This window comes from Homo sapiens, chromosome 2 (assembly GCF_000001405.40).
Source record: "Homo sapiens chromosome 2, GRCh38.p14 Primary Assembly".
NCBI classification, from domain to species: Eukaryota; Metazoa; Chordata; class Mammalia; order Primates; family Hominidae; genus Homo; species Homo sapiens.
Window position 1 is genome coordinate 230,599,501 of NC_000002.12, and position 17,151 is coordinate 230,616,651.

General features: G+C 44.2%; 4 annotated features.

The window, feature by feature from the left end:
- Positions 2,940-3,069: an enhancer, noted in NCBI's record as "active region_17233". NCBI's record gives its function as "activates an Ori minimal core promoter by ATAC-STARR-seq in GM12878 lymphoblastoid cells {active_cell/tissue: GM12878}" and the evidence as "EXISTENCE:reporter gene assay evidence [ECO:0000049][PMID:35858748]".
- Positions 3,210-3,289: a silencer, noted in NCBI's record as "silent region_12411". NCBI's record gives its function as "represses an Ori minimal core promoter by ATAC-STARR-seq in GM12878 lymphoblastoid cells {active_cell/tissue: GM12878}" and the evidence as "EXISTENCE:reporter gene assay evidence [ECO:0000049][PMID:35858748]".
- Positions 11,809-11,868: an enhancer, noted in NCBI's record as "active region_17234". NCBI's record gives its function as "activates an Ori minimal core promoter by ATAC-STARR-seq in GM12878 lymphoblastoid cells {active_cell/tissue: GM12878}" and the evidence as "EXISTENCE:reporter gene assay evidence [ECO:0000049][PMID:35858748]".
- Positions 15,686-15,805: an enhancer, noted in NCBI's record as "active region_17235". NCBI's record gives its function as "activates an Ori minimal core promoter by ATAC-STARR-seq in GM12878 lymphoblastoid cells {active_cell/tissue: GM12878}" and the evidence as "EXISTENCE:reporter gene assay evidence [ECO:0000049][PMID:35858748]".

Genomic DNA, 17,151 nt, shown 5'->3' on the forward strand with positions numbered 1-17,151 from the left:
GAAACCACATCTCTACTAAAAATACAAAAATTAGCCGAGCATGGTGGTGGGCACCTGTAATCCTAGCTACTTGGAAGGCTGAGGCACGAGAATCGCTTGAACCTGGGAGGCGGAGGTTGCAGTGAGTCAAGATTACTCCATTGCCCTCCAGCCTAGACAACAGAGTGAGATTCCGTCTCAAAAAAATAAATAAATAAATAAATAAAACAGGCCCATAGACCAATGGAACCCAATAGAAAGTTCAGAAATACACCCATATATACATGGTCAACTAGCCTTCAGCAAAGGCACCAAGAATACACAACGAGAAAATGATGGTATCTTCAATAAATCATGTTGGAAAAATGAAATATCCATATGCAACAAGAATGAAATTGGATCTTTATCTTACACAATACACAGAAATTAACTCAAAATAGATTAAAGAGTTAAAGGTAAGATCCAAAACTGTAAAATTCTAGAAGAAAAGAAGAGAAAAGCTCCATGTCATTGGTCTTGGCAAAGTTTTTTTGATATGACACCAAAAGCGCAGGCAGCAAAAGCAAAAATAGACAAGGGGATTTTCCACAAACTAAAACACTTCAGAGCGGCCAAGGAAATAATCAACAAAATGAAAAAGCAACCTACAGAATGGAGAAAATATTTGCAAGCCATATATCTGATAAGTGTTTTTTCTTTAGTTTTAATATCTTTTTTAAATATACTTAATTTAATTTTTGTGAGTACAGAGTAGGGGTATTTATGGTGTATGATAAGGATTAAATATCTAAAATATATAAAGAATTCATGCAACTCAATAGCAAAAAAAAAAAAAAAACACATAACCCAATTGAAAAATGGGCAAAGGACCTGAATAGACATTTTTCCAAAAAAGATATACAAATGGTTAAGGGGTTTATGAAAAGGTGCTCAACATTACTAAACATCGGGGAAATGCTAGTCAAAACCACAATGAGATATCATCTCACACCTGTTAGATGGCTATCACCAAAAGGTCAAAAGATAACAAGTGTTGGCAAGGATGTAAAGAAAAGAAAACACTTAAATGTTGTTGGTGGGAATGTAAATTCCTGCAGCCATTCTGAAAAACAGCGTGAAGGTTCTTCAAAAAATAAAAAATACGGGCGGGGCACGGTGGCTCAGGTCTGTAATCTCAGCACTTTGGGAGGCCAAGGCAGGAGTTTCAGACCAGCCTGACCAACACGGTGAAATGCCCATCTGTACTGAAAATATAAAAATTAGCCAGGCGTGGTGGCATGCACCTGTAGTCCCACCTACTCGGGAGGCTGAGGTAGGAGAACCATTTGAACTCGGAAGGCAGAGGTTGCAGAGAGCCGAGATCGCACCACTGCACTCCAGCCTGGGTGACAGAGCAAGACTCAGTCTCAAAAAAAAAAAAAAAAAAAAAAACTACCATAGGATCCATCAATTCCCACTACCGGGTATATATCCAAAGTAAATTAAGGACAGGCACAGTGGCTTAACCCTATAAATCCCAACACTTCTAGTTATACGGTATAGCCGTAAAAAGTGAAAGCATTACCTTGGATATTTGCATACCCATGTTTACAAGAGCATTCAGTGGCCATGCACAATGGCATGGTATTCAGCCATGAAAAGGGAATAAAATATTGATATGTGCTGCAGTGTAGATGGACCTTGAAAACACTGGGCTAAGTGAAAGTAGCCAGACATGGAAGGACAAATGTGTGATTCCACTGATCTGAGGTACCTAGAATAAGCAAATTCATAGAAACAGAGAATAGAATCGAGGTCACCAGGGGATGGGAGGAGGGGGAAGGAATGTGGTGTTATTTGTATAACGGGTAGAGAGTTTACATTGGGAATGACAAAAAAGTTTTGGAAATAGTGGTGACGTTTACACGAATGTATTGTGAATGTATTTAATACCACTGAATTGCACACTTACAAATGACTAAATGAGAAATTGATAATGCTAAATAGTCATATATATTAACAATGAAATGATAACTATTATGTATACTTTGCTACAATAAATAATAATAATAATGATAATGGGAGAGGACTCATGTTATTTGAATGTGGAGCTTCGTGTTAATTAGTCCAACTAAGCTATCACATGCTGCTCTCTGGAGCGTGGGGACAGACAATAGCGCTGAGCATAACTGGGGACAGAAAAATAAATTGGCGGGGGCAGGGAGGCTCAGCTTAGTTGAGAGTGGGATTTTGTAGAGAATGAATGTCATGACCAATATCAGAAGTTTCTCAGAGCCACAGTTGAGCTGCTTTTTCTGCTGGTTTCAGGTGACGGCAAAACAGTGGCACAGGTGTGGGCCTGAAGCCCGCATAATGGAGCTTTCCCCTCCTCCCTGGATTCAGCCACACCCAGGACGAATGAGGTTTGGCTGCAAAACTTAATAGTTTGGGGGGTTTGGGGGTTTTTGTTTTTTGTTTTTTGAGACCGAGTCTCACTCTGTGTCCCAGGCTGGAGTGCAGTGACATGATCTTGGCTCACTGCAACCTCCACCTCCCGGGTTCAAGCGATTCTCCTGCCTCCGCCTTCCCAGTAGCTGGGATTACAGGCCCCGCCACCATGTCCGGCTAATTTTTGTATTTTAGGAGAGATGGAGGTTTCACCATGTTGGCCAGGCTGGTCTCAAACTCCTGACCTCAAGTGATCCACCTGACTCGGCCTCCCAAAGTGCTGGGATTACAGGCGTGAGCCACCGCACCCGTCCAATTTAATGGTTTAAGAGAATATGAGGCCAGGCACAGTGGCTCACACCTGTAACCCCAGCACTTTGGGAGGCCAAGGCTAGTGGATCACTTGAGGTCAGGAGTTCAAGACCAGCCTGACCAACATGGTGAAACCCCATCTCTACTAAAAATACAAAAACTAGCCAGGCGTGGTGGTGCACACCTGTTATCCCAGCTACTTGGGCAACTGAAGCAGGAAAATCACTTGAACCCGGGAGGCGGAGGTTGCAGTGAGCCAAGATCATGCCACTGCACTCCAGCCTGGGTGACAAGAGCAAAACTCCGTCTCAAAAAAAAAAGAGAAAACAAAACAAAAGTGAGGAAATCAAGGGGAGGGAAATCACTGCCCCAGCTCAGGGTTCTTGCCCCGAGGAAGGAGCTGCACTGCCAGAGTCCCTTTCAGGCACCCTCCAGGAGGCCACCAACCCCCAGCTGCAGTGCCTGCATGACAAAAGTTCAAGTTCAAGGGCCTGGCTTCCCCTCTGTTCCCCGCCCCCACACCCCCACCCACCCCCAGCAACACAGACAGGAAGCAGGGCTCACTTCCTGCACCAGTGCACTTACAGGAAGTCAGCTGCTATCACAAGTGCAGCCACCTGAGAGCCCAGGCCCTTTCCCAGAACCCCACCCATACCTGGTGGGGCTGATGTCCAGCTAGGGTGCTACACTAAAGCCCTACACAGTACTGAAGCATTAACACGCTTTTAACCCAGTTAGGGAAAAGCCACTGCCCTGAGCCCGTTGAAAGAGCTCAGGAAATGCCACCCCAAAATATGCTGCTTTGGTGTGCCGATCACTTTGAGCTGAAGACACTTGAGAAAGACCAAAGGCAGAGAGACGTTTTCCCTGAACTCCCCCTGTCTGCCTAAAGACAGATCCCCAATCCCCTCCCAGGGAGTTTCGGGGAAATGAAAATCAAAACCACAGTGAGATACCATCTCACACCTGTTAGATGGCTAGCATCAAAAGGTGAAAAGGTAACAGGTCTTGGCAAGGATGTAGAGAAAACACATATATGTTGTTGGTAGGAATGTAAATTGGTGCTGCCATTCCGTAAAACAGTGTGAAGTTTCCTCAAAAAATTAAAAATAGGGATTAGGTGGGGGTGGCTGGCAAAATGGCCAAATAGGAACAGTTCCAGTCTGCAGCTCCCAGCAAGATCAACATGGAAGGCAGGTAATTTCTGCATTTCCAACTGAGGTACCTGGCTCATCTCATTGGGACTGGTTAGACAGTGGGTGCAGCCCACAGAGGGTGAGCCAAAGCAGGGTGGGGTGTCACTTCAACACCCAAGAGGTCAGGAAACTCCCTCCCCTAGCCAAGGGAAGACATGAGGGACTGTGCCATGAGAAACAGTGCACTCCAGCCCAGATACTACACTTTTCCCATGGTCTTTGCAACCTGCAGACCAGGAGATTCCCTCAGGTGCCTACACCACAAGGGCCCTGGGTTTCAAGCACAAAACTGAGCAGCCATTTGGGCAGACACCGAGCTAGCTGCAGGAGTTTGTCTTTCCATAACCCAGTGGCGCCTGGAATGCCAGTGAGACAGAACCATTCACTCCTCTGGAAAGGGGGCTGAAGCCAGGGAGCCAAGTGGTCTAGCTCAGCAGATCCCACCCCCATGGAGGCCAGCAAGCTAAGATTGACTGGCTTGAAATTCTTGCTGGCAGCACAGCCATCTGAAGTTGACCTGGGACACTTGAGCTTGGTGGGAGGAGGGGCGTCCACCATTACTAAGGCTTGAGTAGGTGGGTTTTCCCTCACAGTGTAAACAAAGCCACTGGGAAGTTCGGAATAGGTGGAGCCCACCACAGCTCAGCAAAGCTGTTGTAGCCAGACTGCCTCTCTAGATTGCTCCTCTCTGGGCAGGGCATCTCTGAAAGAAAGGCAGCAGCCCCAGTCAGAGGCTTATAGATAAAACTCTGACCTCCCTGGGATAGAGCACCTGGGGGAAGGGACGGCTGTGGGCGCAGCTTCAGCAGACTTAAACATTCCTGCCTACTGGCTCTGAAGAGACCAGCAGATCTCCCAGAACAGCACTCAAGCTCTGCTAAGGGACAGACAGCCTCCTCAAGTGAGTCCCTGACCCCTGTGCCTCCTGACTGGGAGATACCCCCCAGCAGGGGTCGACAGACACTTCATACAGGAGAGCTCTGGCTGGCATCTGGCAGGTGCCTCTCTGGGATGAAGCTTCCAGAGGAAGGAACAGGAAGCAATCTTTGCTGTTCTGCAGCCTCTGCTGGTGATACCCAGACAATCAGGGTCTGGAGTGGACCTCCAGCAAACTCCAGCAGACCTGCAGAAGAGGGACCTGACTGTTAGAAGGAAAACTAACAAACAGAATGCAATAGCATCAACATCAACACAAAGGACAACCACACAGAAACCCCATGCGAAGGTCACCAACATCAAAGACAAAAGGTAGATGAATCCACAAAGATGAGGAAAAACCAGCACAAAAAGGCTGAAAATTCCAAAAACCAGAATGCCTCTTCTCCTCCAAAGGATCACAACTCCTCACCAGCCAGGGCACAAAACTGGAAAAAGAAGGAGTATGACAAATTGACAGAAGTAGGCTCCAGAAGGTGAGTGATAACAAACTCCTCCAAGCTATAGGAGCATGTTCTAACCCAATCCAAGGAAGCTAAGAACCTTGAAAAAAGGTTAGAGGAATTGCTAACTACAATAACCAGAGAACATAAATGGCCTGATGGAGCTGAAAAACACAGCACGAGAACTTTGTGAAGCATACACAAGTATCAACAGCCAAATCGATGAAGTGGAAGAGAGGATATCAGAGATTGAAGATCAACTTAATGAAATAAAGTGTGAAGACAAGATTAGAGAAAAAAGAATGAAAAGAAATATGGGACTATGTGAAAAGACCAAATCTACATTTGATTAGTGTACCTGAAAGTGACAGGGAGAATGGAACCAAGTTGGAAAACACTCTTCAAGATATTATCCAGAAGAACTTCCCCCAACCTAGCAAGACAGGCCAACATTCAAATCCAGGAAATACAGAGAATACCACAAAAATACTCCTCGAGAAGAGCAACCCCAAGACCCATAATCGTCAGATTCACCAACGTTGAAATAAAGGAAAAAATGTTAAGGGCAGTCAGAGAGAAAGATCAGGTTACCCGCAAAGAGAAGCCCATCAGACTAACAACGGATCTCTCTGCAGAAACCCTACAAGCCAGGATAGAGTGGGGGGCATTATTCAACATTCTTAAAGAAAATAATTTTCAACCCAGAATCTCATATCCAGCCAAATTAAGCTTCATAAGTGAAGGAGAAATAAAATCCTTTACAGACAAGCAAATGCTGAGATATTTTGTCACGACCTGGCCAGCCTTACAAGAGCTCCTGAAGGAAGCACTAAATATGGAAAGAAAAAACCGGTACCAGCTACTGCAAAAACATACTAAATTGTAAAGACCATTGACACTATGAAGAAACTGCATCAACTAACAGGCAAAATAACCAGCTAGCATCACAATGAAAGAATCAAATTCACACATAACAATATTAACCTTAAATGTAAATGGGCTAAATGCCCCAATTAAAAGATACAGACTGGCAAATTGGATAGAGAGTCAAGACCCATTGGTGTGCTATATTCAGGAGACCCATCTCATGTGCAGAGACACACATAGGCTCTACATAAAGGGATGAAGGAATATCTACCAAGCAAATGGAAAGCAAAAAAAAAAGCAGGGGTTGCAATCCTAGTCTCTGATAAAACAAACTTTAAACCAACAAAGATCAAAAAAGACAAAGAAGGGCACTACATAATGGTAAAGGGATCAATGCAACAAGAAGAGCTAGCTATCCTAAACATATATGCACCCAAAACAGGAGCACCCAGAATCATAAAGCAAGTTCTTAGAGACCTACAAAGAGACTTAGACTCCCACACAATGACAGTGGGAGATTTTAACACCCCACTGTCAATATTAGACAGATTGACAAGACAGAAAATTAACAAGGATATTCAGGACTTGAACACAGCTCTGGACCAAGTGGACCTAATAGACATCTACAGAACTCTCCACCCCAAATCAACAGAATATACATTCTTCTCAGCACCACATCACACTTATTCTAAAATTGACCACATAATTGGAAGTAAAACACTCCTCAGCAACTGCAAAAGAACGGAAATCATAACAAACAGTCTCTCAGACCACAGTGGAATCAAATTAGAACTCAGGATTAAGAAACTCACTGAAAACTGCACAACTACATGGAAACTGGACAACCTGCTCCTGAATGACTACTCAGTAAATAACGAAATTAAAGCAGAAATAAATAAGTTCTTAATGAGAACTTATAAATAAATAAATGAGAACAAAGACACAATGCACCATAATCTCTGGGACACAGCTAAAGCAGTATTTAGAGGGAAATGTATACCATTAAATGCCCACAGGAGAAAGCAGGAAAGATCAAAAACTGATACCCTAACATCACAATTAAAAGAACTAGAGAAGCAAGAGCAAACAAATTCAAAAGCTAGCAGAAGACAAGATATAACTAAGATCACAGCAGAACTGAAGGAGATACAGACACGAAAAATCCTTCAAAAAATCAGTGAATCCAGGAGCTGGTTTTTTGAAAAGATCAACAAAACAGACCACAAGCCAGACTTATAAAGAAGAAAACAGAGAAGAATCAAATAGACACAATAAAAAACGATAAACGGGATATCATCACCGATCCCACAGAAATACAAACTACCATCAGAGAATACTATAGACATCTCTACACAAATATAATAGAAAATCGAGAAGAAATGGATAAATTCCTGGACACATACACTCTCCCAGGACTAAACCAGGAAGAAGTCGAATCCCTGAATAGACCAATAACAGGTTCTGAAATTGAGGCAGTAATTAATAGGCTACCAACCAAAAAAAGCCCAGGACCAGATGGATTCACAGTCAAATTCTACCAGAGATACAAAGAGGAGCTGGTACCACTATTTCTGAAGCTATTCCAAACAATAGAAAAAGAGGGACTCCTCCCCAACTCATTTTATGAGGGCAGCATCATCCTGATACCAAAACCTGGCAGCGACACAACAACAACAACAACAAAAAAGGAAATTTCAGGCCAATATCCCTGGTGAACATCGATGCAAAAATCCTCAATAAAATACTGGCACACCGAATCCAGCAGCACATCAAAAAGTTTATCCACCACAGTCAAGTTGGCTTCATCCCTGGGATGCAAGTCTGGTTCAATATACACAAATCAATAAACGTAATCCATCACATAAACAGAACCAATGACAAAAACCACATGACTATCTCAATAGATGCAGAAAAGCCCTTCAATAAAATTTAACACCACTTCATGCTAAAAACTCTCAATAAAATAGATATCAATGGGACGTATCTCAAAACAATAAGAGTGTCATAAACAATATTTATGACAAACCCACAGCCAATATCATACTGAATGGGCAAAAGCTGGAAGCATTGCCTTTGAAAACCAGTCTAAGACAAGCATGCCCTCTCTCACCACTCCTATTCAACATAGTATTGGAAGTTCTGGCCAGGGAAATCAGACAAGAGAAAGAAATGAAGGGTACTCAGCCAGGCGCGGTGGCTCATGCCTGTAATCCCAGCACTTTGGGAGGCCGAGGCAGGCGGATCACCTGAGGTCGGGAGTTTGAGACCAGCCTGACCAACATGGAGAAACCCTGTCTGTACTAAAAAAAATACAAAATTAGCCAGGCATGGTGGTGCATGCCTGGAATCCCAGCTACTCGGGAGGCTGAGGCAGGGGAATCACTTGAACCCAGGAGGCAGAGGTTGCAGTGAGCCGAGATCGCGCCATTGCACTCCAGCCTGGGGAACAAGAGTGAAACTCCGTCTCAAAAAAAAAAAGAAAGAAAGAAAGGGTATTCAAATAAGAAGAGAGGAAGTCAAATTGTCTCTGCAAATGACATGATTGTATATTTAGAAAACCCCATCATCTCAGCCCAAAATCTCCTTAAGCTGATAAGCAACTTCAGCAAAGTCTCAGGATACAAAATCAATGTGCAAAAATCACAAGCATTCCTACACACCAATAATAGACAAACAGAGAGCCAAATTATGAGTGAACTCCCATTCACGATTGCTACAAAAAGAATAAAATACCTAGGAATCCAACTTACAAGGGATGTGAAGGACCTTTTCAAGGAGAATTACAAACCACTTCTCAATGAAATAAAAGAAGACACAAACAAATGGAAGAACATTCCATGCTCATGGGTAGGAAGAATCAATATCATGAAAATGGCCATACTGCCCAAAGTAATTTATAGATTCAATGCTATCCCCATCCAGCTACCATTGACTTTCTTCACAGAATTAGAAAAAACTACTTTAAATCTCATGTGGAACCATAAAAGAGCCCGTATAGCCAAGATAATCCTAAGCAAAAAGAACAAAGCTGAAGGCATCACACTACCTGACTTTAAACAATACTACAAGCCTATGGTAACCAAAACAGCATGGTACTGGTACCAAAACAGATATATAGATCAGTGGAACAGAACAGAGGCCTCAGAAATAACGCCACACATCTACAACCATCTGATCTTTGAAAAACCTGACAAAAGCAAGCAATGGGGAAAGGATTCTCTATTTAATAAATGGTGTTGGGAAAACTAGCTAGCCATATGCAGAAAACTGAAACTGGACCCATTCCTTACACCTTAAAAAAAATTAACTCAACACGGATTAAAGACTTAAATGTAAGACCTAAAACCATAAAAACCCTGGAAGAAAACATAGCAATACCATTCAGGACATAGGCATGGGCAAAGACTTCATGACTAAAACACCGAAAGCAATGGAAACAAAAACCAGATTTGACAAATGGGATCTAATTAAACTAAAGAGCTTCTGCACAGCAAAAGAAACTATCATCAGAGTGTACAGGCAACCTAGAGAATGGGAGAAAAATTTTGCAATCTATCCACCTGACAAAGGGCTCATATCCAGAATCTACAAAGAACATAAATTAACAAGAAAAAAACAACCCCATCAAAAAGTGGGCAAAGAGTATGAACAGACACTTCTCAAAAGAAGACATTTATGCAGCCAACAAACATACGAAAAAATGCTCATCACCACTGGTCATCAGAAAAATGCAAATGAAAACCACGATGAGATACCATCTCACGCCAGTTAGAATGGCGATCATTAAAAAGTCAGGAAACAACAGATGCTGGAGAGGATGTGGAGAAATATGAACACTTTTACACTGTTGGTGGGACTGTAAATTAGTTTAACCATTGTGGAAGACAGTGTGGCAATTCCTCAAGGATCCAGAACCAGAAATACCATTTGACTCAGCCATTACTGGGTCATACCATTACTGGGTACATACCCAAAGAATTATAAATCATTCTACTATAAAGACACATGCACATGTATGTTTATTGCAACACTGTTCACAATAGCAAAGACTTGGAACCAATCCAAACGCCCATTAACGATAGACCAGATAAAGAAAGTGTGGCACATATATACCATGAAATACCATGCAGTCATAAAAAAGGATAAGTTCATGTTCTTTGCAGGGACATGAATGAAGCTGGAAACCATCATTCTCAACAAACTAACTCAGGAACAGAAAACCAAACACCACATGTTCTCACTCATAAGTGGGAGATGTACAATGAGAGCACATGGACACAGGGAGGGGAATATCACACACCAGGGCCTGTTGAGGTGTGGGGGCTGGGGGAGGGAGAGCATCAGGAGAAATACCTAATGTTGATGACGGGTTGATGGGTGCAGCAAACCACCATGGCACGTGTATACCTATGTAACAAACCTGCATGTTCTGCACATGTATCCCAGAACTTAAAGAATAAAAAATAAATAAATAGGGACTAAGGAGGATTAACTTCTATCCCAGGAGAGGAGACAAGAATACCCCAGAGCTGGACAAACTTTGTCACAAACCATTATCTCTGCTTCTGAGGTCCAATTCATCTCTCCCCAAAACCATTAATTCTCCTCTAAGTTGCCTGCACCTCCCCACCCCTCTCCACCATGAGGAGGGTATTCAAGCTCCTCAGTCTCACTGGTTTGAAAGTGTTCCCTTTTCTTTCCTGTGATGCCCCAGTGCACATAATAAATTTGTGTGCCTTTGCTCATGTAATTCACCTGCTGTGTGTGTGTGTGTGTAAATGGGGTTTCACTTTGTTGCCCAGGCTGGTCTCAAATTCCCAGCCTTAAGTGATCTTCCAACCTCAGCCTTCCAAAAGTATTAGATGTTAGGATTGCAGGTATGAGCCTGGCAGGTGTTTGCTTGTTTGTTTGTTTGTTTGTTTTTGTTTTTGAGACAAGGTCTTGCTCTGTTACCCAGGCTGGAGTGCAGTGGCACAATCGCAGCTCACTGAAGCCTCAACATCCCAGGATCAGATGATCCTCCCGCCTCAGGTTCCTGAGTACCTGGGACTACAGCACGCCACCACCCCGCCCGGCTATTTATTTTTTTGTTAAAGAAGTGATCTTACTATGTTGCCCAGGCTGGTCTCAAACTCCTGGACTCAAGCGATCCTCCCACCTCAGCCTCCCAAAGTGCTGGGATTATAGGTATGAGTCACTGCCTCCAACCTATTTTTTAAATTTTTTTTAGAGACAGGGTCTTGCTTTGTTGCCAAGGCTGGAGTGCAGTGGTGCCATCATAGCTTACGACAGCCTGGAAATCCTGGGCTCAAGTAATCCTCCCACCTCAGCCTCCCAGGTAGCTGGGACTATAGGCATGTACCACCAGCCCACTAATTTTTTTGGTTTTTGTAGAGACAGGGTCTCACGATGTTACCCAAGCCGGTCTCAAACAGCTAGGCTCAAGCCATCCTTCCACCTCAGCCTCCCAAAGTGCTGGGATTACAGGCATGAGCCACCGTGCAGGGCCTGATAGTTTATTTCATAGACTCAGCTACCAACTCCTTAGAGTGTAGAGGGAAATTCTTCTCCACACACACCCTTCAAGGTTCTCCCTCCACCCTCTGCTGCCCTGGACACCCTCCCTAGACCTTCCCAGTCGGCAACCTGATGTCAGGAATCCTCCTGAAACCTGCTCCTGACTTCGCAGGTCTCAGTTCTGATCCGTAGGAGCACACAGAACAGAATGAAAGGCAGGGCTCTCCTGCGAAGGTTGGTTTTTTATTCTGATTTTAGCAAGTAAAACTCTACTTGAAATTTGCGTCTGACCACGGGTTCTCTCCCCTAAAATTTCCATACTCGCCCCAACCTGATTCCCCTCTCCAGATTCTCCAGAAAGTCTACACTGCCCTCTGGTGGCATAATGTTGCTATTGCACAGTCTCCTTTCAAAGCATCCTGTAACGTTTCTTCTTGTCAGTCATCCTGTTGTCCATCCTGGAAAAATAGAATTCTTCTCAACCTTCTAAACGAAGATCACAAAATCAAGGTCAGAGTGCCATTATTTACTTCTAAATGACGGTGGAATAACATAAAGAATAGGTGCATGAGATGGTTTTGATATGTGGCAGTTCACGTGCCCACAAATGGGTTTATGGCCTACGCAGAGAACCCTTAATTCAAATTGCTAGGTGGATACTGTGTCTTTGATGCTCTTCCATCCCCTTTATGACCTTTCCATCCTCCTAGGTCCCTGGGGACCTAGGGGTCTCCACAAACAATGTATTTCTGCCCACCCTGGATTTCCCTCTAGGCTAGAATGCTCTGAAGTGTAGCCTCCAGAGCAACTCAGACTTCTAAGGGCACACAGCAGTGATGCAGGGGACATTGAAGTTGCAGAGAAGTAAGGTGGCACCTAGATACCCAACTGTACGGCCTCCACTGGAGCACAGAGCCTGTCAGCTTCCCTGGCCTGCCCTGTAGATTCTCACATTGTGAGGGCATCCTTCCAGTGCAGGCTCAGAGGTGGCCTGAACAGAGAAGAAAATACTAGGTTATGGAGTGAGTTTAACCACGGCAGACAGTTGTCTTTATGAGGGGAGATGAGAAGTGGGTTGTTGTAAGTGGATGCCGTCTTGGGGAGGTGATTCATCCCCACAGTGTGGATTAATGCCTGCCATCTGACCGTTGCTCCGGAGGTGATGGATGTGGAAATGGATCCCAGGCAGAGATGGCTTTGAAAGGGCCCCCTCACCAATGGGAGCTCTCTCTGGCAGACATAGAACCAAACACCTCAAACACTTGTGGGGGTCCCATATACAGAACAAGATGTATCTTCTCAGACTGATAGCCATGGCTAAGATGGCCTCACAGCTCCAGCCCTAGGAAATATCTAGCCATAGTGTCTGCCGGGGCAACTAAGCGTTCGCAGCAAGTACAACAGCACCTGGAGTTGCCCTGTATCCCCGTTTTGTGGAAAAAGAAGCAGCCGCCATAAACAAGAGAACTTCATGTCACAAATCCTGAAAGTTAAAAATCCCAAGCGACAAAGAAATCTTAACGTTTCTTCCCAGCACCAACACAGAATCGTTCATAAATCCTAAATGTTTACTAGATGAAGACTGTGACCGCTTTCAAATGTTCATGATCAGTACTCTTTTCACGTGGCCTTTTTGAAGAATGTTGACTTCGGACCGCAGTGCTTCACCTTCCCACCGCTGCTGAGTGTCACACAGCGTCATCTTCCCTCCCTGCCTGCCATGAGGCCCTTCCTGCTCAGCTGCCCACAGCAAATCATGAAAGGATCACTAGGTTATATTTATAATTTTCAAAAACTTTAGAAACATACAAATATAAAATGAACATGTCAATGGTTTGATTCAAATCATTCATTAAACAAGGGAACCAGAAATAGGTTAAAACTGGTTCAAAGGAGAACTTGAAGAATTGAGATTTACATTGTCAGTCCAGTCAAAGGAATGCTGAAACAAATTTGCTAATATATGCAAAGCTGGTTAATATACTACTACACAACAAACTATATAAATCATCTTTTCTACAAGACAGTAAAAAATTATATCTCTCCAATGCAAAATGCATTTTCATTGTTATGGGCTAGAATCATTTACAAAACCTTCAAATAAGAATCTTCATATTATTATTCCTTTTCTGCAAGTTAACCTCTACCTCTTAGAGTTGTAAAATACCCTGGCTAATAAAGTTAATCAAAATTACATAGCAACCACTGCATTGAAGGAATACTCAGTCATCTCTTTTATTTTATTTGATATTATTTTATTTTATTTTATTTTATTTTATTTTATTTTATTTTATTTTATTTTATTTTATTTTATTTTGAGATGGAGTCTCACTTTGTCACCCAGGCTGGAGTGCAGTGGCGCAATCTCGGCTCACTGCAACCTCCGTCTCCGGGGTTCAAGCAATTCTCCTGCCTCAGCCTCTCGAGTAGCTGGGATTACAGGTGCCCACCACCACACCCGGCTAATTTTTGTATTTTTAGTAGAGACGGGGTTTCACCATGTTGGCCAGGCTGGTCTCAAACTCCTAACCTCAGGTGATCCACCCGCCTAGGCCTCCCAAAGTGCTGGGATTACAGGCATGCACCACCGCATCTGGTAATCTCAGTAATCTGTTAATTCTTCTTGAAAATGTATACATTAAAGTGTGTGGACTTGATGTGTTAAGGAACTGGGCCATTAGTCTCCAGCCTTCTCCTCTCTGGAAATGGGGTTTATGTAAATGCCAAAGCTCCTTTATAAGTTCTGAGCCCCTCAGTAGTTTTTCCCCTATAAAACTGGGTTTTGCTCAGGTGCATTTCTGCTAGCTAGGAGGCAGCTTGAAGTCCTGGCAAGCCAGGCTGGCATTCTAGAGAGTTCAGTGTAATCACAACACAGAAGAGTACCTGGGCCTGGCCTTCCTGGAGACATATCAGGGAGGCCCTTGGAGCAAACTTTTTCTATACAGGACCAGATAGTAAATATTTTAGACTTTGCAGGTCGTAAAGTTTCTGTAGCAACTACTCAACTCTGCCACTGTAGCGCAAAAGCAGCCTTAGACCACATATGAATAAATGGGCACGGCCGTGTTCCAATAAAACTTTATTTACAAAACAGGCCATGGGCTGGATTTGGCATATGGACCACAATTTGTCTACCTCTGGTAGAGAGAATACAGGAGCTTTCATTCATTCACACAGTTAATATTAGCTGTGATCCTAAGTGAGCCATACCTAAACCGATCCCATCCCTGCCTTCACGGAGCTCCTGGTGTGGTGGAACGCATAGTTTACATAAGGAATTTTAATACAGGGTAATAGCAGAGATGGCAAGTCAGACAAACCTAGTCCAATGAGAAAACACCACTTAAGTTGAAACATAAATACTTACTAAGATGCTGAATTTGAGGTCCTTGTGACATATCCAAGTAGCAGTGTCATTGGACAGGTGTTTATAATAAGTCTACAGCTCAGAAAGCCAGCCCGGGTCGGGCGCGGTGGCTCACGCCTGTAATCCCAGCACTTTGGGAGGACGAGGCGGGCAGATCACCTGAGGTCAGGAGTTTGAGACCAGCCTGACCAACATGAAGAAACCCAGTTTCTATTAAAAATACAAAATTAGCCGGGTGTGGTGGCACAGGCCTGTAATCCCAGCGACTCTGGAGGCTGAGGCAGGAGAATTGCTTGAACCCAGGAGGCGGAGGTTGCAGTGAGCCGAGATCGTGCCATTGCACTCCAGCCTGGGCGACAGAGTGAGACTCCGTCTCAAAAAAAAAAAAAAAAAAAGAAAGGCAGCCTGGGCTGCAGATCAGATCTGGAAGCCACTGAAGCCTCGGGGGTGGCTGACGTTGCCTGGGAGGGTGAGTGGGCAAGAGGAGCTGTGTGAGTGACTACACCCTGTGCTTCTCAAACTTGAGCGCACAGCTCACTCACCTGGAGGGCTTCTCAAAACACAGATTGTGGGGCCCCGCCCCCTAAGTCTCAGATTCAGTACATCTGGTTCGAGGCCAAAGAATTTGCATTTCTTTCAAGTTCCCAAAGAAGAAGGTACATCTGGAGTCTAGTCAAGTTTTGAGAAAAGGGCTTTTCATTACAAGCAGAGTGTAACCAGGAAAGATGGCTCCTTGTACCCACCAGAGGAATAAAAACATCTTTTAAGAAAAGTCTAAGATTCTGACATTTTGGTTACAAAGTCAAGAAATAAGCTCCACCTAAAAAAAATCATCATCATTGGCCGGGCGCAGTGGCTCACGCCTGTAGTCCCAGCACTTTGGAAGGCTGAGGTGGGTGGATCACGAGGTCATGAGATTGAGACCATCCTGGCTAACACTGTGAAACCCCGTCTCTATTAAAAAATACAAAAAATTAGCCGGGCATGGTGGCGGACGCCTGTAGTCCCAGCTACTCAGCTACTCGGGAGGCTGAGGCAGGAGAATGGTGTGAACCTGGGAGGCAGAGCTTACAGTGAGCAGAGCTTGCGCCACTGCACCCCAGCCTGGGCGACAGAGCGAGACTCCATCTCAAAAAAAAAAAAAAAAAAAATTCATCATCATGAGATGCATCCATTTCACTGGCATTAGTCATCTGAGACTATCTAATGCAGAGCAATAAATTCTTTCCATGATGCTGGATATCTCTTGGACCTCCCTGTAAATAATTTTTTTTTTTCTTCTTGAGATGGAGTTTCACTCTGTCACCAAGGTGGGAGTGCAGTGGCGAGATCTCGGCTCACTGCAACCTCCCCCTTCTGGGTTCAAGCAATTCTCCTGCCTCAGCCTCCAGAGTCGCTGGGATTACAGGCACCAGTCACCATGACTGGCTAATTTTTTTTCGTATTTTTAGTAGAAAGGGGGTTTCACTACATTGGCCAGGCTGATCTCGAACTCCTGACCTCAGGTGATCTGCCTGCCTCGGCCTCCCAAAGTGCTAGGATTACAGGCATGAGCCACCGCACCTGGCCCCTGTAAATAATTTTTTTTTTTTTTTTGAGATGGAGTCTCGCTCTGTCACCCAGGCTAGAGTGCAGTGGCGCAGTCTCAGCTCACTGCCAGCTCCGCCTCCCGGGTTCATGCCATTCTCCTGCCTCAGCCTCCCGAGTAGCTGGGACTACAGGTGCCGGCCACCATGCCCAGCTAATTTTTTTTGTATTTTTAGTAGAGACATGGTTTCACCATGTTAGCCAGGATGGTATCAATCACCTGACCCCATGATCCACCTGCCTCGGCCTCCCAAAGTGCTGGGATTACAGGCATGAGCCACCACGCCCGGCCCCTGTAAATAATTTTTAAAGAGGCAACCTCGATGGGCACTGATCAGTGAAACAGAGGTCATTAGAGCGCTTGCTATCTGAAGGCGGAAATCCTCCATCCACTGGGCAACACTAGCCCTTGACTTAATTTCATTACAATGAAGGTGAATTTGGCTCTGGTCACTATCGCTCCAGCTCAGAAAGTATTCTGGCTGCAGTGAGCCCTGGAAGAGACAGATCTGAAAATTTA